Genomic DNA, 27,352 nt, shown 5'->3' on the forward strand with positions numbered 1-27,352 from the left:
CAGTATATGACAGTGGCCTGAGCCGACACTTCAAGGGAAGTCCATTCATCTCTGACCAATGAAGCCCAAAGTACTCACTGCATGAAAGGGTTCCTTTCTTGTTTCCAAAGGCAATCAATTTTTGTCCTAGAGTCTGAAGGTTCATGGGCTTTCTTTTAATTTTGTCAGTCTGCACATGCATGGTTCCTCCTGCATGATTTGGTCTGGAGGAAGTGACCCACCCACAACGCCACAGAGCTAATTAACCCCACACTGAGCTTTTTTTTTTTTCTCATTTCACACATCCACTCAATGCTTTAAATGACCCAGCAGCAGCATGATCATATGATTTCTTCCCCCTCAGTGAGGAAAGCATGGTGATGGGAGGAGCAGGGATATATCTGCCCTAATCAAAACAGCAGTGTGATCCTAAAATATTATCTAATTGCATTGCATCCGAGGGTGCAAAATACTAAGAAATCCCTGAACGAATCTCTTTCATGTCATTCATTTAACTTCTTGCAGTGTCCATTTGAAGTAGCAAATAATACATAAGAAACACTGAGGTAGAGAAGTTTGATCTATACTCAGAATGTTTAAAAAACATCCGATCTTACAGGGGGTAAAAGACCGAGAGCTCCTTCCCTATCCCGAATAGCTTCAAGAGAAGGGCCTTTTTTCCATTTGAAGGAACAGACTCATGTTTTTCCAGATTTATTTTTTCCAAAGGGAATGCCTTGAAAACTCTAAGATGATCACTGTTTTCTAACTTTTCAAAAAAGAAAAAAAAAAGTGAACATGATGGTGGTGGGTGATTTAATGGAATCAGCTTGTCAACATGATGAAACTGAAAAAAGCTTTTATAGACTCTGTCCACATGCTAAAAAAAAAAAAAAAAGGCAACCTTTAAAGTTATGTGTATAGTATAGAGTGGTTTTTGTCATGGCAAAGAAAAGAAATATAATTATCTTATGCAGTAAATGTAAGGCTCTGCTAAGAATCTCATTGGATAAATCATAGAAATACATCCTGGCCAGATAAATGGAGCCAGACAAGTTCTAGGTCTTGTAAGAAGCTTTCAAAAGAATCATCATATTGTAAGTCTGTCATCTCTGTAAGTGACAAGAAAAATTCTAGGCTATTTCCCTCGGTTCTACTAGTAACATGGCTTCAGAGTTTTAAAGATTTAGACTTAAATGGACAAGAAAATGACTTCTGAATATCCCATCTTAGGCAAACTATCGGATTTCTCTCATTCTTACAAGTAAGTGTAGCAAATTGGTTCACCTTGGAAGGACTTGGTTAGAGATCATATATGTCTTATGTGAACTTTTAACCTCTCTTTCCTTTGCAAAGTGATTTATGCATACACTATTAAATACACAGGAATTCTATAATTCTTAGTTCAGTGAACAGTTAGTACAAGGGAAAATCTATCTAATATTTTAAATTTTTGTTTAGTGTCTTAAATCCTACACTTTAGAACTGGAGACCTTATAGATAAGTTCTATAAGGTCTTCAGTGTGCTGAAAAACACATTTGCTACTGCTCCCTAAGCTTCTCTTAGGTAAGGCTGCCAACTGGGGTAAATTGATGGATAAAACTAGCTCAATAGGCAAAAAACAAAGGTCCAGTGAAGCACAGTTTATTTTTATTTATACTGGTCAGAAATATCACAGTTAACAAATAGCCTAAATCAAGCTCTTATATCTAGGGCTCCAGCCTTTGGCTGAAGTGTCTCATCTGGTAATTCTGAAAAAAATAGGGTTGTTGTGATTTCAAAGACTCTCCTGCCCAGTAGACTTTTTCAGGCTCACTGATGCTTAGGATTCTAAAGCCTTTACTATGGTCTGTTAGACCAATACAGTATGTCCCTTACTATTTCTCTGACTTCATCTCCTAACATTTTCATGCAAAATTGGTCCAACAGACAATAAAATAGACAGGGATAGGAATATGAATGGGGACTAAAAGGAACTAATTAATAAAAATTAGTTGCTTTATGTCCTTGTTAAATATCAACTCTTTCATGACAGCCTAATAAAGTTTCTGAACTTATCTTGAGAGTTGGTTAAGATAGGGGAGAATATACAAAGTATTTCCAACACCATGCATTCATTCATTAATTCAACAAATAGTTTTCCCGAGTCTATTATTGATTACTCTGCCAACTGGATTCTACTTCTGCCCTCAAGGACCTTCCACTCTAATGTATGTTTTGGAGAGTTTCTGTCTCTATTATCACTGACAGGTTATTAGCCCACTTTAGACAAGTTATAAATATAACCACCTGCCATGATGATTCCTCTTCTTGTTCTTTATTTGTTTTTATTCATTTGCCCTGTAACATCCATTAACCTTTCATGAATGACCTGATCCTTTGTGAGCTATACTATCAACACAGCTAATTTTTATATAAATGAGAAACCCCTTCTCCACTCCCAACTAACTTTTCTTTCTCAAACAGCCATGAAAATATAAAAGTCTACCCAGAATTATTTAAGTTTTTGAAATGAGTCCTTACAATCTGATCTGAAGCACCATTTTTTTCCTTTCTTTTTTGAAAGAGGGAATGGAGCCTCAGCCCCTAAGATACATATCTCAAGTTACAGGCAAATTACACACAAGTTACTGGTCTCCCAGACGTAGTACTCACTACTCTCTGGGGTAGAACAATTTCTGCATTGAACAGAGGACCATAATCTAGCTCAAGTAATCTCAATCTCAGAGAACAGTTAACCAAGTGCATATTTCTGGTCCCTATATTCTCTTATAAGGAGTTACCCTCTCCACTATATTTTGGTATTTTCTGAACCTGGCTACCTTAGGTAAATGACAGTGGACATGGTAAAAAGAACACTAACTCTTCCTCAATTTGTTAAACTTGTTTTTCCTCCTCATATGCTTTATAAACAAAAATGGGAGAATTTAATGTATGTATAGAGCAGCAAATGTTCTCTCTGTTGCTTTCAGACATTTTTATCTTATATAAACAGTGGTGATGAAATTATAAATACCATTATTCCACCTCTATGTTAATACTCTTATTATCTTGCATCAACAGACGTGAACAAATACGTACATGACACCAATCAATCCCTTTTCTAAAAATGCAGTTTTTGTATTTCTAAACAGTGGAGGAAGAATTTTATGAATTCAACATGTAGTTTACCTATTTATATTTTGAATTTTAATAAAGTAAAACCAAATTATCGCTTATGTTCTTTCACACTTACATCAGCCATTAACACTCTCCATGCTGGCATGGGGTAGGGGGTGTGTAGAACTAATGGCAATGGGTCCAAGTCCCCTGGGTCAGGTGGTTAGGGGCTTGGCAGGCTGGAGAGGATGTTTAGATGCTGGGGCAGGATATTTCAACCTGCTTGACAGGTAAGAGATATTTTCTGGCAGTAAGAGGAATATTTTTTATGGAACAAATTGCTAGGGAGAGGTCATTTTGGGGCACTAGGTGAGAGAAATATCAAAACCAAACCTAAAAGCAGTCTAAGGGAACTCGGGAAAAGAAAATCACTACTTTTTCAATCTCCTCACTGGTTTCCCTTATTCCATAGTGTGCCTTCTCCTTCCATCTTCTAGCACTTCATACTCTTTTCTCCTCCATTTCTTCAGGTTTTCTTTCTCCTACCTCTTTATTATAACAAAAAAAAGCATTTAGGAAGAATTCTAGGAGACAGGGAGACAAAAAAAAAAAAGAATTTAGAGAAGACATAATAACATACTGCATAAATATGTATGTATGTATGTATGTGTTTATGTATGTGTATATGTATGTATATATAACAGATATTCGATTTACCAAGAAGGATAAACTGGGACTTTTGAGATTTAAAAAATTCATGGTATGTCTGGTCATATTAATCTCCAAACCAGCTTGTTTTTAGCATTGCTAGAGCTATAACAGAATCAGGAGTAGAAAACAAAAGGAAAAAAATAAAATTTAACAAAGGATTTATATTTGCAAAGGAAAGAGGACTTATTTAGAGTTGTTTATTGAAATTCCCCCAAAGCTATTTTTTGAACTTATATATTGACAACATCAAGAGAAGGAGCTTAGGAATTCTCATAGGGTTTAGGAACTACTAAACCTTGTATATTATGTTCATCTCAGTCCACTCAAGCAAGTAAAGGATAACTAGAGGATGGTATCTCACAGTGCATAACATGGTTGGTTACTTTGCTAGGCTGACATATGGAGACAGGGCCCATAGGAGCAGAGCTTTTCTTACGAATACCAGAGAGAGACACCCAGGTTCATCTAAATGTATAGGGCATGAGGGATTAGTGGTACAGTGTTATCTGCAAAGTACCTAAAAGTGTTTTCTAAACAAGCACTAACTTCTTAGCCCAGTCTTCTTGGGGATTAAACAAAATCCAATAGTAAGTAATGGGGAATACTTTATTTGGTCACTGGGTTGGGGAGGGTTGCTGAGACATATGACAACATTCAATCCATTAAGATAGGAGGAAATGAGGAGAAAGAGAAAACAAAGAAAGGGAGAGCGAGGGCCAGAAAAGAAGAGTGTCACCTCTGTAGACTCTCTAACAGAATAAATCGATAATCTTAAGAAAAGTAAAAGAGCATGCCTAGAGGGAAACCTCAGCACACTTTTGGAATCCAAGGCAAAAAATAAAACAATTTGCTTCTTGTCAAGTTTATTGCCATTGACCCATGGGAGGTTCCTATTTATTCTGCTCTTACATGCACAGGTATTTCTTCTACTCTTACATTCTTTTCCTAAGGATTAGCATTCTGTGATAATGGTGGTAATGACAGCTGCCTTAAATTAGTGGCAAGTTAGGAATGAAACACTGACCACCAGGCTATGTTCTTGAATCCAGTCTATGCCCTGTAATGTGTTCATTCTACTTTCTGCATTTTCTCTGAGACCTGTCGCATAAGACTTGTTTTGTAAGGCCGGGCTCCTTACGGGGACACATATGGCTCCAGAAAACAAGTACTCTACTTTCTCACCCTGACTTTTTGGTTTTCTTGTTTTTTCCTCTTTTCTCCCAGACTATTATTTTCCAGTTTCTTCTCTACCAGTCTGGACGCCCATGGTTGTTAACTTTAGAGATACCCACCAGCTCCATCAATTCCCTCATCTACAGTTCTCAACTGTATTTACCTAGTTCTGGAGCTCAGATGAACCCACATGTATGTTCTCCTCAGCTTCCAGGCTGCTGATCCTTGCTGGAGAAAAAGCACAAAACTGTACAGCTTGATGCTCCTGCAGAATTACGGTTTCCAGCATAAGTTCGAATTTCAGAATTAGTTTGCAATTTTAAAATTTGCTCCTAGTCAGTTTCCTTTTTCACTCCACAGTTTCATTCATTACTCTATTTAACTGGTTATAACCCATCCCCTACCCTTCACTCTCAGCTAGTAACCTTGCCTCCTTTTGCATAGAGAAAACAGAGGCCATCAAATGGCACTTCCTATCACTCCACCTTTGCCACCAATGAATCCGCCTGTAACATTTCAGAGATCTTTCTGCCTAGCACTGATAACCTCATCCAGGATCTTATTATATCAGTTACTTTTCCTTTCTTTTGTATTTTCAATTTTCCTACTGCCTGCCAACATGCTTTAGCTGTCTTCATTTAAGGTAACAACAATAACAATGATAATAAACTAACAAACAACAAACCATCTTTTGCAGACTTTATCTTTCCCTCTTTTGTGCCACCTTCAAGCTTCCTAAGCTCCCGTTTATTCCTCAAACCATTACAATCTGGTTTCTCTAGCTGTGTTTCTAATTAAACAATTTTTTTTTTTTTTTTTGCCAAAGTCACCAAACACTTCTGAATTGTTAGCTTCCAAAATCCATTCTTCAACCTCATTGTTTTCTTTCTTTTAAAGGTCAGGTTCACTGAGGTATAATTTACATACAATAAAATTCATCCTTGCTATACTCATTTACCATTCAATAAGTTTTGCCTTATATGTTGGAGGCCTGTAAAATGAAGCCCAACCCCCAAGCCGCTTTGCTTCATATACAAATCCCTTTGGCACCTCTCAGCAGTCTTCCCCACATAACCCATTGTCTGGTGACACCACACTACTCAGCATTCAAGGATATATGCCATGTACATTCATGCCCCTTGTACTTTCTTTATGTTTCCTCTCTATAAACATATATGTCTTGGTATAACACAGTAAATGCTATTTAATATTACCACATCAATTTCCATATAGAATCATAAATCTATACGTTATTTTGAGAAGCTGAGGTTTTCCAAATAGAAGTCATCCATCAAAATGCTACTACCTGAAGATCTCTATTATTTTAGTATTATGGGTTGATTATGTTCCCTTAAAATTCATATGTTGACATTCTGGCCCCCAATTCTTTAGAATATGAATAGATGTGTGAATAGGGTCATTGAAGATGTGATTAAGATGAGGTCATGCTGTAGAGTGGGCCTGCAATCCAATATGACTAGTGTACTTATAAAAAAGAGAAACTTAAACACAGACATGCACACAGGGAGAACATCATGTGACGATGACGGCAGAGATTGGGGCTGATGCTTCTATAAGCCAAGGAACACCAAAGATTGCCAGGAAACCACCAGAAGCTGGGTGGGAGTCACGGAACTCACAGCCTTAGAAGGAGCCGACCCTGTTGATACTTTAATCTTGAACATCTAGCTTCTATAACTGTGAGACAAAAAATTTCTGTTGTTTAAGCCACTCAGTTTGTGGTAGTTCGTTACAAAGCCCCAGAAAACTGATATACTCAGTAAAAGAAAAAATCTTCAGTATATTGGAATCAGTTCTTTCACTCATCAGGTACTTACTGAGTGCCTACTATGTGCTAGGAACTGCTCTAGGATATTGAATGAATGACTAAGAACTTCATCACGTTACTGCATTTTTTGTTCACTAATAAGTAATCAATCTATCAATCAATATATTAATAGATGAAATGCCTATCATTTATTTTATCAGCAAACATTTGTTGAGTATCTCCTATGTGTCAGACATCGTTCTAGGCACAGAGGATAACATTATTGGCAGATCAAGTTCTCCACCTTGTATAGTTTAAATTCCAGTAGAGGGAACATATATTAAACAAGAAAATAAGTAAATAAGATATGTAATTTTACTCTGTTTCTGACACTGAGAGTCATAGGCATTTATCCTCTAAATCACTGAACAAAGCTTGGAACTAGATAGCGAACATGTTACTTCACAGTTTACAAAGTAATAAGGAAGACAATGAGGTCTCATACTAGAGGCACGTTAAACCACAGGCAGTGTGCAGGCTTAAAGTGTTTGGGAAGGACATCCCAAAAGCTAGGTTTCTTAGTCAGTTCGTCAGTCAATCAACACATATTTCTTTTTTTTTTTTTTGACCAAATTTCTCTCTGTTGCCCAGGCTGAAGTGCTGTGACACGATCTCGGCTCACTGCACCCTCTGCCTCCCGGGTTCAAGCAATTCTCTGCCTCAGCCTCCCTAGTAGCTGGGATTACAGGCACCTGCTACCATGCCCGGCTAATTTTTGTATTTTTAGTAGAGATGGGATTTCACCATCTTGGCCAGGTTGGTCTTGAATTCCTGACCTCATGATCCACCCGCCTCGGCCTCCCAAAGTGCTAGGATTACAGGTGTGAGCCACTGCACCCAGCCATTTGACATGTATTTTTTAAGCGCTTACTGTATACCAGGCCCTATGCTGAAGATAGTAGAACTGTGGACAGAGCCAACATGGTACTATTACCCACTGAGCTCACATTCTAAGGGGAAAAATTTGAACAACAAATCTCACAGTCCGTTCTTTATCATATATCCTCATAAGAATACATAAAGGGGGTTAGGAGATCACCTGGGTCAGAGGACTGGCCCATGAGGGGTTTCCAAGGGGCCTTCCTTGAAGATGTGGTGCCCGGACACTGCTTTAGGGCTGGGGTATGGGTATTGGTTTGAGCAGGGTCATGAAGTTTTCGGTTTCTTCTTCCTCATCCCCTTTCAACCATGTACACACATTTCAAATACTTAAAAGCATTCTTCAAATATACTAAGAACACCAAGAACTAAACACAAGAGAAGGACTCTCCAGAGGAAAGGGGCCAAAAATAGAAGAGAAAAAAAACCCCTAATCTCACCATTTGTTTTGAAAACACCCAAAATGATTAAAACATATTATAAACTAAAACATATGAACTAATCACTTGCCAAGTTTCATTTTTAAATCAAAGCCGTTTTGAGGTTCATAAACTGAAAAAAGAATCTTCAAATATGAACTTGTGTTTTTCTTTTCTTGGCCCTCAGTTGGCTTGAAGCATTTGCTGTTATGCTGTGTGGAGGGAAGGGGAACCTGCTAGTTAGGAACATGTGGCATGCATGTACTAGAAGGTAAGCTCCACAAGATCATGACTCTTCACAGTGGTATCCCTGGTAAGTAGAAGAGTGCCTGAAAGATAACAGGGGCTCAATAAATACCTGCTGAATGATCAACTAGTGAATATTCTGGGCCCTTTAAGGGATTCTCCAACTCTCTTTTCTTACCCAAGCTGCATCTTGCTTTAGGCCAGTGGTTCTCAACCTGGGGCTAATTTTTGCCCCCAGTCAGGGGATATCTGTATTTTTTGTTGTCACAGTTAGAGAAGTTCCTACTGGCATTTAGAGGGTAGATGCCAGGGACGCTGCTAAACATCTTACAGTGCACAGGACAGCCCTGTTCCACAGAGATTTATCTGGCCCCAAAGGTTAATAGGGCCAAAGTTATGAAACTCTGATTTATGCCCTTTGTTTCTATTGGGCTGTACCTGGGAGTCAGATCCTCTGCATATTTGGAATGAAGTTCAGTCCTAAAGGAAGCACCCCAGAAAAGCCTCATTGCTTCATCCTCATTCCCTTCAAGACCTAATAGAACTGCCCCCACTCTAAGGCAGGCTCAGAGAGAGCCAATTTTGCCTTTTGTCCTCCCTGGGTCAACAATGCAATTGCTAGGGAAATCATCTGAAAAAGTCTGTCTCTACAATGCAAGTAAATAATTTTTACAGTACATTGGTAATTTCCCTGAGCTTACCTAAGCATATATACTAATTTAGTAAAATTCTCTTGTTTACAAACTAGTCATGTATCTGCAGGAAAAAAAAATCTCCTCAAGTTCAACCAGTTTATCCATGTCTGCTCAGGATCAGTACATGACTCTAGCTTTATTCATGATAAATAAGATCAACTTCAAGAATTCCATCAAACCCCAGTAATGTGCCTTTAGAGAGACTGGGCTTATAGCATTTCCTCTGCCACCCTCCTTGCCCTGCATATTAAAATACAGGTATCTGATTCCAGTTTCAATGGGGAAACTTCTGTCGTGCCAGAGGAGGGCATGCGCTGATTTCCCCACTCTGATGGTTGCTCTAGTAATCTTGGTGTTGTGGCATGTTTCCCAGTTACCATAGAGACTGCATACACTAAGACTGCAGCATTGTGATTGGTGGGAAAGATACATTTTGCAGAAGCTTTTCTGGAGAGATAAAGGTAAGACACGAGAAAGAAAGTGAGACTGCCAATAAAGGGGCAGAGCACAGAGAAGTCCCAAACAACCATACATTCTAGAAAACTGGGACAGCAGAGATTACAACTACTGCTATAAAACTACATAAACTGTTCACTCAATGGCTGCCTGTCAGGAAAATTTCAAGTATTGTCAGACAGAACAGACACAAGATATTCTAGAATAAAAAGGTAAACAAGTAAACCTACTGAGGTTATAGGGGTGACAAAAGGGAAATGGCAAGAAAACATTTAAAAATGATTCAATGCTAGAAAAAAAAAAGAATCTCAGAGAGCAATAAAATTTAAAGTTACATTTAACTTTAAATGTAGGCTGACCTTTGGGGAATTATTTAAATTCTGAGTACCTCTGCTTCCTTCCCTATGAAAAAGAAAAAGAAAAAAAGAATAAAGATGGAAATAGAAAGAATAAAGATGACTTCTCTCTCACTGTTTAACAGGAGTCTCTTTAAATATCTCAATAATTTGACATTATATCAGTTGAATATGATGTACCCCCCACACAAAAATCAGACAAAAACACTTAAAGGGGGTGATAAATAGGGGGACGTCATTAACAATGCAAATTGACTCATTCCATAGTTTCTTAGAGTAATGAGTCAACTGACTACGTGATCTCATGTACATAATTTTGTTCGGCATGAGATTTTGAGGTATACAATTACTACAGAAATCAAGGTATACCTGCAATGTAAAGGGTAAATCGTAGGCATTTTAAATGAAAGCTGGGGATAGGATGTGTGTTGGTTTGAGGGATGAGTGGGAGTGGATTTAAGAGAAAATCAGTCTAGGAAAATATCACATAAGTGTTTGTAAGTTCCTTGATATTCAGGTCTGTATCTTGTAATGCTTTATTAAACATATTTCAGACTAATATGTCCATTGCCTACTGGACATTCATATCTCCCTGTTTTTAAATACCTTTCAAATCTGTATCTTGAGCCATTACTTATCTCTTGACCTCTAACCCTTTATATCAAATGAATTACTAGACAATTACAATTAGATATTCCAAAAGCATCCTAAATTCAACATGTCAAAGCTGAACTCATCTTTTCCTTCAAACTTTCTCTTCCTCCTATGTTCCCTATGTGAGTAAATATTAATAGTATTACCATTCACCCATCTGCCAAAGTTCCATACCTAGGAAGAATCATGGTTGCTTTTATCTCACCTTCAAATAATCACCCGTGCATATAGATGTGCAATCCTAATAACCAAAGGAGGCCTTTTTTGAATAGAAAGCAATATTTACAGTTAATTGGGTTTTGAACTAATATTAATTTATTAAACTTACAAATTTTAAAAGCCTAGTTTTCTTTACACCTTTACCTGTTAAAAACACACATATATTTTTCTATGTCTTAATATAGCAATTTTTGCATAAAATAAGAAAAATTACTTTCAGGAAGGGTGAGATTACTAGACAAAAAAATTTGGGACCTCAAACTATTTCAACTGTCAGTCAGAATGTTAAAAGAATGAGAGTTAGGGTCTGATCTGGGAACACCTTTCAAATGATTTTGCCAAGGTCACCAGTAGACACACTGAATGTTTTTATAGTCACTCTGAAAATGAGAAATTTTACGTCTATACCCTACAAAGGAAAATTTACAATCCAGGTCCTCTATGTTTAAGTTTCATTCTTATCTAACTCTTTTATAATCACTTTCCACTTTATAGCCTGATAAAGGTAGACAATATTTTGTGTCTCCACTAACCAGGTTTCTTGAATCTAGTGCCCTTTCACTTCATAACGTTTTTCACATTTCTACCTCTCTCATCCCCATTGCACCACATTAGCTCAGAGCATCATTATCTGTCACTTGTAATATTGCGACAGTACATTGTACTATATTTTCTTAAGTTTCTGAGTCTTTGCACATGTCACCACCTGTGTCTAGAACACCCATATTCCCTGATAAACATTTACTGAATGAAAAAAAAGTTAATAAATGCTTTGGATGTTGCTGCTTTGGGTGCTGAACAGAAATAGTGGCCTATCTAAGATTCTGGATAAGCCTGCATAAAGCACTCTTACTTTCAAAATTAATTTTGAAGAATAAGAAAATTTTGCCATGGAGAATCATGGAGCCTATGCCACAATATTATGTTTTGCATTTAATAAAACACCTCCAAACCCAGGGAAAGAATCAGTTATTACTTCCTTCAATTCATACAACGAATATTTACTGAACACTCTCTATGTGCCAGGCTCTGTACTAGGCACTGAGGATTTCTTAGAGCATAGAACAGGCAAAAAACAAACAAACAAAACCGAAAAAAACCTCACAATCATGGGGCTTATATTCCATGGCAAGAGGAAATAAATGTGTAAATAAAATATATATTTTGTCTGAAGGCAGTAGGTGCTATGAACCAAAAGGGGTGGAAAGCTAAATGTTAAATACAGTGGTTATGAAAGGCCTTACTTAGAAGTGAAAATTGAGCAAAGACCTGAAGATGATAAGCAAACAAGCCTTATCTGGGGAAAACATTTAAGGCGGTCAGAAAAGCAAGTGCAAATGTGAAATCATGCATGGTAGGCTGGAGGTTAGGAAGGGGGTCAATGAAGGTTGAGGGGAGTGAGCTAGGGTGGAGCGCTAAATGAAGACAGAGAGGTAATGGGGAAATTGAATATGGAGGGTCTTGTGAACTACTGCAAAGGCTTTTCTTCCAAGTGAGATGTTGAGCCATTAGAGAGTTCTGAGCAGAGAAGTGATGTGGTCTGACTGAAATTACATTACATATATTGCAAAGCATCACTCTGGCTATCATTTTGAGAATAGACTGTAAGTGGTAAGGCCAGAAGCAGGGAAGACAATTAGGAGGCTACTGCAATAATCCGGGTAAGAAATGATAGTTGCTTGGATTAGGGTAGTAGTGGTGATGAGGATGAGGAGTGGTAAGATTCTGGACTTATTCTGAAGGTAGAGCTGCAGGATTTGTTCAATGGTTGGGTTTGTGAGAGAAATACAGGTCTGGGAGAGAAATAAATTTTTGATTTGAGTAACCCTAAAGGTGGAGCGTTATTTACCAATATTGGGGAGGCTATGTATTTGCTTGGTAAAATAAGGAATTCCATTTCTGGTATGTCAAGTTTGAGATGCTCATTAGACAGACGTGGAGATGTTGAATAGGCAGCTGAATATGTGAGCCTAGAATTCTGTGTAAAGGCCTGGACTAGAGATACAAGCTTGCACCATAAGCTTGGGTGCAAATATTAAGAGAGTGAATGGAGCTGAAGAGAAGAGCTTCAAAGATTGAGCTCTAGGGCCCTCTAATGTTTACCTGCTTGGGAAATGAGAATATGCTAGCAAAAGAGACTGAGGAGGAGTAGACTGTGAGGCAGGAAAAAAATCAGGAGAGTGTGGTGGACTGAACGCCAAGCGAAGAAAGTGTTTTAATGGAGAATGAATAATGGGCCATGTAAAACAATTCTGAGACATCAGGAAAGACAAAGACTGCCGAATGGTTAATGGATTTAGCAACATGGAAGTCATTGGTGACCTTAGCATCAACAGTTTTACTAGACTGGTAGGTGCAAAAGCTAACTAGAGGGGCAAAAGAGAACCAGAGCATAGGATTGGAGAGTGTTTATAGTGACTATACGCATTTCTTGAGAAGTTTTGCTGTAATGGAAATCAAAGAAATGGGACAGGAGCTGCTAGGGAGTATGGTTTATAAGGGTATTTTTAGGATGAGATAAATTATGTGTTTGTATACTGATAGGAAAGTTTTGATAGAAAGAGAAAATTTGATAAAACAGAAGAAAGATGTGAGCTTTTTCAGGAGCACTGTTTATGCATGTGCAAGAGGAGAGAGATTCTAAGGCACAATGAGGGATGGGCTGAGCCAAGGGTACACAGAGTTTATCCATAGTTGCAGGAGAGAAGGCAAAATACATGGGTACAGATAAATATGGGAGGGTAGGTGTGCTGGACAGCAAGTATTTGTGAAGTTGTCTTTTGATGGTTTCTATTTTTTCAGTGAAGTAAAAAGAAAGGTTCTAAGTTGAGCGTAAGGATGGGGGAGGAGGTGTTAGAAATTTGAGAGAGGGAAAAATATGAAATATTCTTGTACAGATATGGAAGAGTAAATGACAAGGAAACATATTATATTTGCTGGGCAGCATTAACGGCCTCCTTGAGGGATCATGAATTTAAACTGAGAGTCATACATTTGCTTGTGTGTTTTTCTCCAGCCACATTCAGCTGGCACACAGGCATGAAATAGATGGCGAGTTGCATATGATCAGTATAGTTGAGATTTGTCAAGAGAGCACAGTTAAGTCAGAGAAGGTCAATGGTGTTAAAGGCGCATACAAGGAAATGATTAAAATCATTGTCCATGGAATCTACGCTATATAATGAAGTGAGCATATGAGAAGCTATGGGTAAAATCAATGAATTAGGGGTCCTAGTGGGTTTAAGGAATTGGTGTATTAGGGGTAACAAAGGGATTGAACTACCAAGACATTAGGCTGTGGTTGGAAAATGGAATGCTTGAAATTGAGATTGTGGAATATTGTAATTATTAGTAATTAAAACATCAGAAATGTAGCCATGGGAATGAGTAGCTATGGCAGAGTGGAGAATCAATCATGAGAAGTTCAAGAAATTGAGAGGAGGTATTAGAGGGAGCGTGTATTTACACAGTGAATAACCAATAATTGTAATGGGGTAGAAATGGAAAGAGTGTTAGTGAGCTAGGGGCTAACGTTTTCAAGGAATTGGGAAACTTGCCTGGTAGACAACTGCATCAAGGGGGAGTTATGGGAACACTTAGCTTTTCTACTACCTCCTCAATGTTTCCTCTCTCTCACTTTCCATCTTTCCAGCTTATATACTGGCATTACAAACTTTAATTTCCTAGACTAGATAGCTACATATCACCTGTGTCTACCCTTTCTCCTCCCTATCCAAATTATCTCCAAGTCTTGAGAATTTCCAATTTTTTTTTCTGAGATGGAGTCTCACTCTGTTGCCCAGGCTGGAGTGCACAGTCATGCCATCTCAGCTCACTACAACTTCCGCCTCTCAGGTTCAAGCGATTCCCCTGCCGCGGTCTCTTGAGTAGCTGAGATTACAGGCACGCACCACCACACCCGGCTAATTTTTGTATTTTAGTAGAGACGAGGTTTCACTATGTTGGCCAGGCTGGTCTCGAACTCCTGACCTCAAACAATCCACCTGCCTTGGCCTCCCAAAATGTTGGGATTACAGGCATGAGCCACTGTGCCTGGCCTCCAATTTTGAATACTCTCTACTCTCCCCCTTTGGGACCATCACTACTCTAGCCTGTCACTCTCTATTTTATCACTCAGATTAATGTTCTTCATGGCACTAATCGCTCTCTAAACTTAACTTGTTCATTTATTTGTTTGCTTTTTTTGTTGGGGGGGGTGTCTATTTTCCTTCATTAAATATAAATTTCATAAGGGGAAAAGTTTTGTTTAATTTGTGCCTGGAACATAATATGCCCTCAATAAATACTTTCAGGATGAATTAATAAATGCCCCCTATAACATGCTGATGAATCCTTATATTCTTGGGTTCACACAACAGCTTTGCTTTACTATCCTACCAGCTTCTCCCTCCTTTCCTGCTCAAACCATCCATTTCACCGAGTAAAGTCATTTCACTACTCCCCCAAAACACCATGTTCATTTCTATTCAGATGATTTCATCATATTTCTCCCTTGTTTATGTCTATTCCCCACATACCAATTCTTTGAGTCCCAGCTTAGGTCTTACTTCTCGGATGGTTTTTCTATGATTACCATGAGGCCTGCTGATTTCTCCCTCCTCTAAAATCCTGCTATCCCTAACAACACCAGCTGCTTTATATTTTCTAATTGTTTCATATGGGTTATTCTTACCTTTTCACTTTAAAATAGGTTTATTTTTGGCCTAAGGATCCTGACTTACAACTACAGTATACTCAGTAAAAACTAACACAGTGTAGGGCAGATAACGGGTATTCAAAAAATACTATGGCCTCCTTAGATAGCTTCATAGACTTCCATCTTCCTCAACAAACATTTTCTACCTTTTACCCTGCTGTTAGCTAAATCTAACTATTCTTCCTGCTCTATGATACTGTCTTTGAGACCAGAACCAACCCCTATGTCCACTACACAGAATTCTACACTCTTGCACTGCAATTCCCACAGCTAAATCATTGTCATTGCCATTATTGTTCCTGGATTCTCTTGGCAATTTTAGTATATTCAAGGCATAGCTGCCAAGATCATCATCCTCCTTGATTGTTTGGAATCTTTATTTTTTTAAATCCCTGCATTTTTTCCATCAAACTTTAAGTGTTCCTGTGGGATTTGTTTTTCCTTGGCTCCATCCTTGGCCTGGTTCTTCTCCACTTTCTTATGTTCAGTCACTCGATTTGCCCTTTGTCTCATTTGAAGGAATCAGCTTTCACACCTTCTTTTAAACTACCTTGCATATTTAGAATATTTTCTCAAATAATATAAAATTTATAATATTTATGAATAAATGACACAATGCCAAGATATTCTGTCTCTTCTTTCAAATAACATCTGAAGATGCACCTGCACTAGTGAGTTCTATATTTAAGATATTGAATAAGTATCATTCACCCATCTGCTTTCATTCTGTCCTGCATTTTTTAGGACCTGCTTCAGAGTTGTATTTTGAGGTCTTTTGGACGGGGAACTGTCTGGCATAGTTCACAAACTGGCCTTTGCTCTGTATATTCATGTTCCTTTGATAAATAATAAATAATAATAATAGCCCACTGTGCATTTTTACATTCCACTCATAAATCCCTGGAAAAAGAAAAACTAACAACCAGGGATTATAATAGAAACACAGAAACAAAACTAACCTTTTACCAGGTTTTGCTACAGTAATATATACTTCCATAGACCTATATTCTAACAAATAATTACCTGCTTAAGTCATTTGTAAATTGTTCCTTTGCCAACATTATGTATAATAGCAAATGTCTACGTGGTTTATAGGACAGGGAAAACAACTAGAACATTACAGCTATGTGGGGGATCAGTGCAAAAGCAGCAAAATAAGAGGTTTACTCTGTTGGGTGCACAGTTTGGAAGAATTAGTCTCACAAGTAGAACTACTTGACAGAATATATGCCTGCTCTCCAGCTCCCCCTTCTCCCCTCCTCCAGATCTTTTTTCAATAATGGAAGAAGACTTACTTTCTTTTTTCAAATCCAGGTGGGAAGTGTATCATTTTGCGTGAAAAATCTGTTTTTCTTTGAACATAACAAATGGTCTGATTGAAGCTGCTCTATGAAAACGGCAGCATATCTAACCAGGGAGGTGGGAACTATAGTTTAATGGGTGGAGCACCTCCATATTTAGCTGCAGATGAGCCACATTTAACTTTAAAAAAAATAAAAATTTAAAAAATAAAAGAAGGCCAAAATGTAATGATTGTCTTGTTACTGCAGTGGCCACTAGATGGCAGGTCCAAAAATCTGATGGGAGTCTCACAGGAGGGCAAATCTTAGGGAGCAGAATGTTTCTGGCACTCAATCCAGTGTTGGTTCATCAATAAGCCTTGGCAGTTTGCTAAAATATCAGGTGGGTAAGACAATATCCATGTTATTTCACAGGGCTGAAGGGGGCAGGAAGCCCTTTGGTATCTAGGTTTGTAGAGTATTGTCATCACATACTCACACATCCAGATACTGCTACCCCTTTGGACTTCTGTCCACAGACATTCTTGGAGCTGGTTTTTATATATGTTCAGCTGTATTCCATTATCTAATGGTCTGTGCAATACTGAGCCATAATCTCAGGAGTGTAAAAGGTAGTTGTCTAATCTGCCTCCATGGAAACAAATGAAGGAGGCTGTCAGGCTAGGGTAAGGGAACATACAGCTGTACTGTATTTAACAACATATATTTACCAGTAATTGCAACTTCATGTTAAATATGTGTATTTCCTATACTGGAGGCTGACCATATATTCATGTTAATTGTTTTGAAAAAGAGAATGTTGATATATAAGAGACTTATTATTTAATAGGATAAAATAACTAAGGCCTATGATTAAAAATGAAATGAGTAAATTTAGAACAAATTATTTGTTGTACACAGTAGAGTTTTCATTTTCTTTTACTAGGATGGGAGACTTCTAGATGTGGGTCTTATGAGACTATAAAAAAGTCATTCTTGGACCAATTATTCTGAAGATAGATTGTGTCTTTCCCTTCATAATTTTTTTTTTTTTTTGGTTACTAGATTATCCTGATAAAAGTGATTTCACTACATGGACAATGCCTACTTTTCTTTATCTTTTAATTAAAGAACTGACCTTATGATTTTTAAAAGTAGAGAATCACAAGCTCTGAGATAATTTATCATTCTCACTAAAGAAAATGTGCTCTAGAGTCAAATTTATCTTTGTACAAGAGCTGTGACATGCATTTTGATATACATTTAAGCATCTATGTCAATTAAAATATTATAAAAATAAAAGCAACAAAAACTCAATTATAGCCATGCAACTCAGTCATCACTCACCTTTTGTTCCCTTTTTCTTTGAAAATTTAGATAGAATAATGGTAAACATGTTGATTTCATCTATTCTTGCTCTGTATATTTGGACTGTGAAATGTCTACATGAGACACAGGAAGAGGGCACGGGTCTTCAGGATAAAAAACAAAAAAAAATTTTTCCTAAAGAAGAAATATGGGCTATATTGAATTATGATAGATGTTTTAAATCAGTACCGTTTTCCTTTAGTTTGGAGTAAAATTTAAAATGAGATGACTGAAATAATTTACGATAAAATATCATGGTTATTTCTACATATTTAAGGTTTAAAAATGCTCAAACTTATACTTTCCTCATAGAAAGAGCACTGGAATGGGAAACTGAGAGGTCTGGGTTCTATTCTGGCTTTGACAGTGACTCACTGTGTGACATCCAGAGAGCATGACCTCCCCAGGCTCCTCACTTCTGAAATGGGAGGGTTTTGAGGACAAAGTCTCTCTCTGCTTTAACATTCAATATCCAAGTAAGTAAATTGCTACGTATTGCAGATTTTTTTTTCCTCAGAAATAGACTAATTTCCTCCGATGAAAGAATAATACTGTTAAGAAGCTGATGTTGAAAGCTAACATGTCCCTACCAACACTGTGGGCTCTACCCATGCAGGTGAAGCTAGAGCTTGTTCTTCCTTCAATCCCCCCTTTCCCTATTCTGCACCACTCTTCCACACACTCCCCCATCATCTTTAAGTCTAAATTCTACCTGAGAGGTCCTCTGTGACCCCTAGGTAGTTACTTGCTAATTATTACTAATTATTCAATAACTGTTTTACTTTTCCTCTTGAGCACATAGCTAAGTTCCATTTCCCAGCCTTCTCTGCAGATAGCTATGGCCCTGTGACCAAATTCTGGTGAGTGGGATGTTGGTGGAAGTGACATACGCTGTCCCAGGCCTGGTCCATTAAAAGTTCCTGTGTAATCATTGCTCTCTCTTCACCAGATTTCTGGCTGGATGTCACACCCACAGCAATCTTGGAAGCTATGTACTGAAGAGCCTCTGTCAACCTGGGTCCCTGACCAGTCTTTACATGAGCAAGAGAGAAACTCATGTTGAAATACTGAGATTTGGGAGTGTGCGTATTATAGAAGCTAATGTTACCTTAACTAAGAACACTCCTAAAGCAGAAATTTGTTCTCTCTCCGAGACATTATGTCTCTTTTACCACATTTTCCACCTTTAATAATTTATTTACTGATATGTAAGCTCCTTGAGGATAGTACATTTGTTTCACTAGTGTACCCACAGAACTCTAGTTAGTTGAATGAATTCAGAATAGAACATAGCTGGTTTGGAAAGTACAGAAGTTACAGAAGGTAGTAAAAGCAGTTTGATTTTTAAAAATTCTAGCTTTGTGTTTTATCCTATAATATTTAGGTAGAAGGTAGGGATGATGGGTTGGGGTTTTGTTGGTGTGGAAATGTATTGTGACAACCACAGCCTTTTAATATATTTTGTGTACTGCATCCCCAATAAACATGTTTTCCAAATAAAGTGTAAAGTCTTTTTCTAAATGCTGTATGGCTTGCCTTTTTTATATATTTGTGTAAAGAAATTCGTAGTAGTAATTCTCTGACACTGAGTTAAAGGAAGTCCTATTTTTTTTCACAATTATGTGAAAACACAATTATGTGCTGTATAATGACATTTTAGTCTACAATGGACCACATATCTGACTGTGGTCCTGCAAGATTATAAGATAACTGAAAAATTCCTAATGCCTAGTGATGTCATAGTGATCATAACATCACAGCACAATTACTTTTTAAAACATAAATTTAGTGTAGCCTAAATGTACAGTGCTTATAAAGTCTACAGGAGTATACAGTAATGTCCTAGGTGTTCACATTCACTCATCACTCACTCATTCACTCACCCAGAGTAACTTCTAGTTCTGCAAGATCCATTCATTGTAAGTGCCCTATAAAGGCATACACTTTTGATCTTTTATGCTGTGTTTGTACTGTACCTTTTCAATGTTTAGATATGTTTAGATACATGAAAACTTACCATTCTGTTATAATTACTTACAGTATCCAGTACAGTAACATGCTGTGCAGGTTTGAAGCCTAAAAGCAATAGGCTATATCATATAGCCTAGGTGTGTAGTAAGCTCTATCATCTAGGTTTGTGTAAGTACACTCTATATTGTTCACACAACGATGAAATTGCCTAATGATGCATTTCTCAGAATGTATTCCCTTTGTTGAGCAATGTGTGACTACATTTTGAAAAGTTAAAATAATACTAAAGGGAGGGACAAGTGAAGAGCTAACTTGAGAAATCTAAGAACTAGGTAATTTAAAAGAAGTGCTTTTAGTTACATAGGGTTTTTAACATCATTACCACCTATGAAATTACAGGTATTAACTACTGTCTCAAAATGATCATCGCCCTTTTGATACTTTACTCTCAGTGTCATGGCTGACCTCTTTTGAGTCAAGTTTATTGGACATTTTCAGTTTTATTTTTTAATTCTCATCACTGCCCCTCCCTGAAATACTTCATCCCTGGTTTCCTTAATAATACTGGCCTAATTTCCCTATTCTCTATCTCTAGTTTTCTCTCCTCTTTTGTTTGGCTCCTCTTTCTCATCTATTCTTTAAGTATTAGAATTTCCTAGTGTTCTGCTCTGAGTTTTTCTTTCTCTCATAATTTTTCCTTGAGTCATCTTATCTAGTCTTATGGCTTTACCTACTACTTCCTCACAAATAACTCCCGACTCTTGATCTTTAGCCCAGACCTTTCTTCGGAGCTTCAAAACCTGTATTGCCTATAGTATCCTGGGCATTTTAAGAAAATCTAAATATTTTGTGCCACCTTAAATTCAAGTCCCAAACCAAAAGCACTCCTTGCCCTTTCAAGTCAAACCTTCTTCCTCCTGTGTTCCAGCTCTTGGTAGATGACATCAATTTAGAAACATTAAACTCTCCTTTTCTTTCTTTCTTGTCCCTTATCTAAATTATCTAATTAAGTTCTAAATCCTGTAGTGCTTTTATAGTCCATTTGAGATTTTAGCCTAAGTTTGAGGACTAGATAAGTGAAGACAGATTAAAAATAAGACTTCTTTTAACTCAGTGTCAGAGAATTACTACTATGAATTTCTTTACACAAATATACAAAAAAGGCAAGACATACAGCATTTAGAAAAAGACTTTCATACCCTTCCATCATACCAGAGTTCCATTATCAGCCTGAAGAGAACCAGGAGAGCTGTCCTGAGAGGGAGCTTTCTCACAATCAGGACTGGATTGAAACAAAATAGAATCAATGGAAAGAAAGATTTTTGGGGAGGGGAGAGAAGTTTTGCTTGCTGCTGGTCCTTTGGTAACCTCTGCAAAAGAAAAGTTTAAAAAATGACCCTGGCTGGCAAGATGGCCGAATAGGAACAGCTCCCGTCTGCAGCTCCCAGCAAGATCAATCCAGAAGGCAGGTGATTTCTGCATTTCCAACAGAGGTACCTGGCTCATCTCATTGGGACTGGTTAGACAGTGGGTGCAGCCCACAGAGGGCAAGCCAAAGCAGGGTGGGGCATCGCTTCACCCAGGAAGCACACAGGGTTGGGGAATTCCCTCCGTTAGCCGAGAAAGCCGCGAGGGACTGTGCCATGAGGTTCGGTGTATTCCAGCCCAGATACTATGCTTTTCTCACCGTCTTCACAACCTGCAGACCAGGAGATTCCCTTGGGTGCCTACACCACGAGGGCCCTGGGTTTCAAGACAAAACTGGGCGGCCGTTTGGGCAGACACTGAGCTAGCTGCAGGAATTATTTTTCATACCCCAGTGGCACCTGCAATGCCAGTGAGACAGAACCACTCACTACCCTGGAATGGGGGCTGAAGCCAGGGAGCCAAGTGGTCTAGCTCAGTGGATCCCACCCCCATGGAGCCAAGCAAGCTAAGATCCACTGGCTTGAAATCCTTGCTGCCAGCACGGCAGTCTGAAGTTGACCTGGGACCCTCAAGCTTGGTGGGGGGAGGGGTGTCCACCATTACTGAGGCTTAAGTAGGTGGTTTTCCCCTCACAGTGAAAACAAAGCCACCAGGAAGTTCAAACTGGGTGGAGCCCACCACAGTTCGGCAAAGCCACTGTAGAAAGACTGCCTCTCTAGATTTCTCCTCTCTGAGCAGGGCATCTCTGAAAGAAAGTTAGCAGCCCCAGTCAGGTGCTTATAGATAAAACTCCCATCTCCCTGGGACAGAGCACCTGGGGGAAGGGGCAGCTGTGGGCGCAGTTTCAGCAGACTTAAACGTTCCCACCTGCCAGCTCTGAAGAGAGCAGCAGATCTCCCATCACAGAGCTCGAGCTCTCCTAAGGGACAGATTGCCTCCTCAAGTGGGTCCCTGACCCCCATGCCTCCTCACTGGGAGACACCTCCCAGCAGGGGTCAATAGACAGCTCATACAGGAGAGCTCTGGGTGGCATCTGGTGGGTGCCCCTCTGGGATGAAGCTTCCAGAGGAAGGAACCGGTAGCATTGTTTGCTGTTCTGTAGCCTCTGCTGGTGGTACCCAGGCAAACAGGGTCTGGAGTGGATGTCCAGCAAACTCCAGCAGACCTGCAGCAGAGATGCCAGACTGTTAGAAGGAAAACTAACAAACAGAAAGGAATAGCATCAACATTAACAAAAAAGATGTCCACACAAAAACCCCATCCGAAGATCACCAGCGTCAAAGACCAAAGGTAGATAAATCCACAAAGATGAGGAAAAACCAGCTTAAAAAGGCTGAAATTCCAAAAACCCGAATGTCGTTTCTCCTCCAAAAAATCACAACTCCTCACCAGCAAGGGAACAAAACTGGATGGAGAATGAGTTTGAGGAATTGACAGAAGTAGGCTTCAGAAGGTGGGTAATAACGAACTCCTCTGAGCTAAAGGAGCATGTTCTAACCCAATGCAAGGGAGCTAAGAAGCTTGAAAAAAGGTTAGAAGAATTGCTAACTAGAATAACCAGTTTAGAGAAGAACATAAATTACCTGCTGGAACTGAAAAACATAGCACGAGAAGTTCATGAAGCATACGCAAGTACCAATAGCTGAATCAATCAAGCAGAAGAAAGGATATCAGAGATGAAGATCAACTTAATGAAATAAAGCATGAAGACAAGGTTAGAGAAAAAAGAATGAAAAGGAATGAACAAACCTCCAAGAAATATGGGACTATGTGAAAAGACCAAACCTACGTTTCATTGGTGTACCTGAAAGTGATAGGGAGAATGGAACCAAGTTGGAAAATTCTTCAGGATATTATCCAGGAGAGCTTCCCCAGCCTAGCAAGACAGGCCAACATTCAAATTCAGGAAATACAGAGAACACCACAAAGATGTTCCTCAAGAAGAGCAACCCCAAGACACATAATCGTCAGATTCACCAAGATTGAAATGAAGGAAAAAATGTTAAGGGCAGCCAGAGAGAAAGGTCAGGTTACCCACAAAGGGAAGTCCATCAGACTAACAACAGATCTCTCTGCAGAAACCCTACAGGCCAGAAGAGAGTGGGGGCCAATATTCAACATTCTTAAAGAAAAGAATTTTCAACCCAGAATTTCATATCCAGCCAAACTAAGCTTCAAAAGCAAAGGAGAATTAAAATCCTTGATGGACAAGAAAATGCTGAGAGATTTTGTCACCACTAGGCCTGCCTTACAACAGCTCCTGAAGAAAGCACTAAATATGGAAAGGAAAAACCGGTACCAGCCACTGCAAAAACACACCAAACTGTAAAGACCATCGACACTATGAAGAAACTGCATCAACTAATGGGCAACATTACCAGCTAGCATCATAATGACAGGATCAGATTCACACATAACAGTGTTAATCTTAAATGTAAATGGGCTAAATGCCCCAATTAAAAGACACAGACTGGAAAATTGGATAGAGTCAAGACCCATCAGTGTGCTGCATTTAGGAGACCCATCTCACGTACAAAGACACACATAGGCTCAAAATAAAGGAATGGAGGAATATTTACCAAGCAAATGGAAAGCAAAAAAAAATGCAGGGGTTGCAATCCTAGTCTCTGATAAAACAGATTTTAAACCAATAAAGATCAAAAAAGACAATGAAGGGCATTACGTAATGGTAAAGGGATCAATGCAACAAGAAGAGCTAACTGTCCTAAATATACATGCACCTAATACAGGAGCACCCAGATTCATAAAGCGAGTTCTTAGAGACCTACAAAGAGACTTTGACTCCCACACAATAATAGTGGGAGACTCTAACAGCCCACTGTCAATATTAGACAGATCAATGAGACAGAAAATTAACAAGGATATTCAGGACTTGAACTCAGCCCTGGGAACAAGTGGACCAAATAGACATCTACAGAACTCTCCACCCCAAATTAACAGAATATACTTTCTTCTCAGCACCATATCACACTTACTCTAAAACTGACCGCATAATTGGAAGCAAATCACTCCTCAGCAAATGTAAAAGAATGGAAATCATAACAAACAGTCTCTCAGACCACAGTGCAATCAAATTAGAACTCAAGATTAAGAAACTCACTCAAAACCACACAACCACATGGAAACTGAACAACCTGCTCCTGAATGACTACTGGGTAAACAACAAAATTAAGGCAGAAATAAATAAGTTCTTTGAAACCAATGAGAACAAAGACATAATGTACCAGAATCTCTGGGACACAGCTAAACTAATATTTAGAGGGAAATTTATAGCACTAAATGCCCACAGGAGAAAACAGGAAAGATCTAAAATTGACACTCTAACATCACAATTAAAAGAGCTAGAGAAGCAAGAGCACACAAATTCAAAAGCTAGCAGAAGAGAAGAAATAACTAAGATCAGAGCAGAACTGAAGGAGATAGAGACATGAAAAACCCTTCAAAAAATTGATGAATCTAGGAGCTGATTTTTTGAAAAGATTAACAAAGCAGATAGACCGCTAGCCAGACTAATCAAGAAGAAAAGAGAGAAGAATCAAATAGACACAATAAAAAATGATAAAGGGGATATCACCACTGATCCCACAGAAATACAAACTACCATCAGAGAATACTATAAACACCTCTATGCAAATAAACTAGAAAATCTAGAAGAAATGGATAAATTCCTGGTCACATAAACCCTCCCAAGACTAAACCAGGAAGAAGTCAAATCCCTGAATAGACCAATAACAAGTTCTGAAATTGAGGCAGTAGTTAATAGCCTACCAACCAAAAAAAGCCCAGGACCAGACGAATTCACAGCTGAATTCTATCAGAGATACAAAGAGGAGCTGGTACCATTCCTTCTGAAACTATTCCAGATCATAGAAAAAGAGGGACTCCTCCCTAACTCTTTTTATGAGGCCAGAATCATCCTGATACCAAAACCTGGCAGAGTCACAACAAAAAAAGGAGAATTTAAGGCCAATATCCCTGATGAACATTGATGTGAAAATCCTCGATAAAATACTGGCAAACCGAATCCAGCAGCACAGCAAAAAGCTTATCCACCACGATCAAGTTGGCTTCATCCCTGGGACTCAATGATGGTTCAACATACACAAATCAATAAATGTAATCCATTATATAAGCAGTTTAGAGCCAATGACAAAAGCCACATGATTATCTCAATAGATGCAGAAAAGGCCTTTGATAAAATTCAACACCGCTTTATGCTAAAATCTCTCAATAAACTAGGTATTGATGGAACGTATCTCAAAATAATAAGGGCTATTTATGACAAATCCACAGCCAATACCATACTGAATGGGCAAATGCTGGACGCATTCCCTCTGAAAACTAGCACAAGACAAGGATGCCTTCTCTCACCACTCCTATTTAACACAGTATTGGAAGTTTTGGCCAGGGCAATCAGACAAGAGAAATAAATAAAGGGTATTCAAATAGGAAGAGAGGAAGTCAAATTGTCTGTTTGCAGATGACATGATTGTGTATTCAGAAAACTCCATCATCTCAGCTCAAAATCTCCTTAAGCTGATAAGCAACTTCAGCAAAGTCTCAGGATACAAAATCCATGTGCAAAAATCACAAGTATTCCTATACACCAATAACAGAGAGCCAAATCATGAGTGAACTTCCATTCATAATTGCCATAAAGAGAATAAAATACCTAGGAATACAACTTACAGGGGATGTGAAGGACCTCTTCAAAGAGAACTACAAACCACTGCTCAAGGAAATAAGAGAGGACACAAACAAATGGAAAAACATTCCATGCTCATGGATAGGAAGAATCAATATCGTGAAAATGGCCATACTGCCCAAAGTAATTTATAGATTCAATGCTATCCCCATCAAGCTACCATTGATTTTCTTCACAGAATTAGAAAAAAACAATTTTAAATTTCATATGGAATCAAAAAAGAACCCATATAGCCAAGACAATCCTAAGCCTAAAGAACAAAGCTGGAGGCATCACGCTACCTGACTTCAAACTATGCTAGAAGGCTACTGTTACCAAAACGGCATGGTACTGGTACCAAAACAGATATATAGACCAATGGAACAGAAAGAGGCCTCCAAAATAACACCACACATCTACAACCATCTGATCTTTGACAAACCTGACAAAAACAAGAAAAGGGGAAAAGATTCCCTATTTAATAAATGGTGTTGGGAAAACTGGCTAGCCCTATGCAGAAAACCGAAACTGGACCCCTTCCTTACACCTTATACAAAAATTAACTCAAGATGGATTAAAGACCTAAATGTAAGACCTCAAACCATAAAAACCCTAGAAGAAAACGTAGGCGATACCATTCAGGACATAGTCATGGGCAAAGACTTCATGACTAAAACACCAAAAGCAATGGCAAAAAACCCAAAACTGACAAATGGGATCTAATTAAACTAAAGAGCTTCTGCACAGCAAAAGAAACTATCATCAGAGTGAACAGGCAACCTACAGAATGGGAGAACATTTTTGCAATCTATTCATCTAACAAAGGGCTAATATCCAGAATCAACAAGGAATTTAAACAAATTTACAAGAAAAAAACAAACCCCATCAAAAAGTGGGTGAAGGATAAGAGCAGACACTTCTCAAAAGAAGACATTTATGTGGTCAACGAACATATGAAAAAAAGCTCATGATCACTGGTCATTAGAGAAATGCAAATCAAAATCACAATGAGATACCATCTCACGCCAGTTAGAATGGCGATCATTAAAAAGTTAGGAAACAACAGATGCTGGAGAGGATGTGGAGAAATAGGAACGCTTTTACACTGTTGGTGGGAGTGTAAATTAGTTCAACCATTCTGGAAGACAGCGTGGCAATTCATCAAGGA

General features: G+C 38.5%; 1 protein-coding gene and 1 long non-coding RNA gene across 18 annotated transcripts in view; one reads left to right on the forward strand and one right to left on the reverse strand.

Moving 5' to 3' along the window:
* Positions 1–9,893, forward strand: part of ZBTB20-AS5 (ZBTB20 antisense RNA 5) — a 66,540-nt gene extending 56,647 nt beyond the window's left edge. The window contains exons 2-3 of the long non-coding RNA NR_121661.1: positions 8,277–8,360; positions 9,404–9,893. This is a non-coding gene — a long non-coding RNA (ZBTB20 antisense RNA 5). The remainder of the gene's footprint in view (positions 1–8,276; positions 8,361–9,403) is intronic.
* The window catches only part of ZBTB20 (zinc finger and BTB domain containing 20), an 832,789-nt gene that overhangs the window by 195,740 nt on the left and 609,697 nt on the right, over positions 1–27,352 (reverse strand). The gene's annotated exons all lie outside the window — the stretch shown is intronic.

This window comes from Homo sapiens, chromosome 3 (assembly GCF_000001405.40).
Source record: "Homo sapiens chromosome 3, GRCh38.p14 Primary Assembly".
Lineage (NCBI taxonomy): Eukaryota > Metazoa > Chordata > Mammalia > Primates > Hominidae > Homo > Homo sapiens.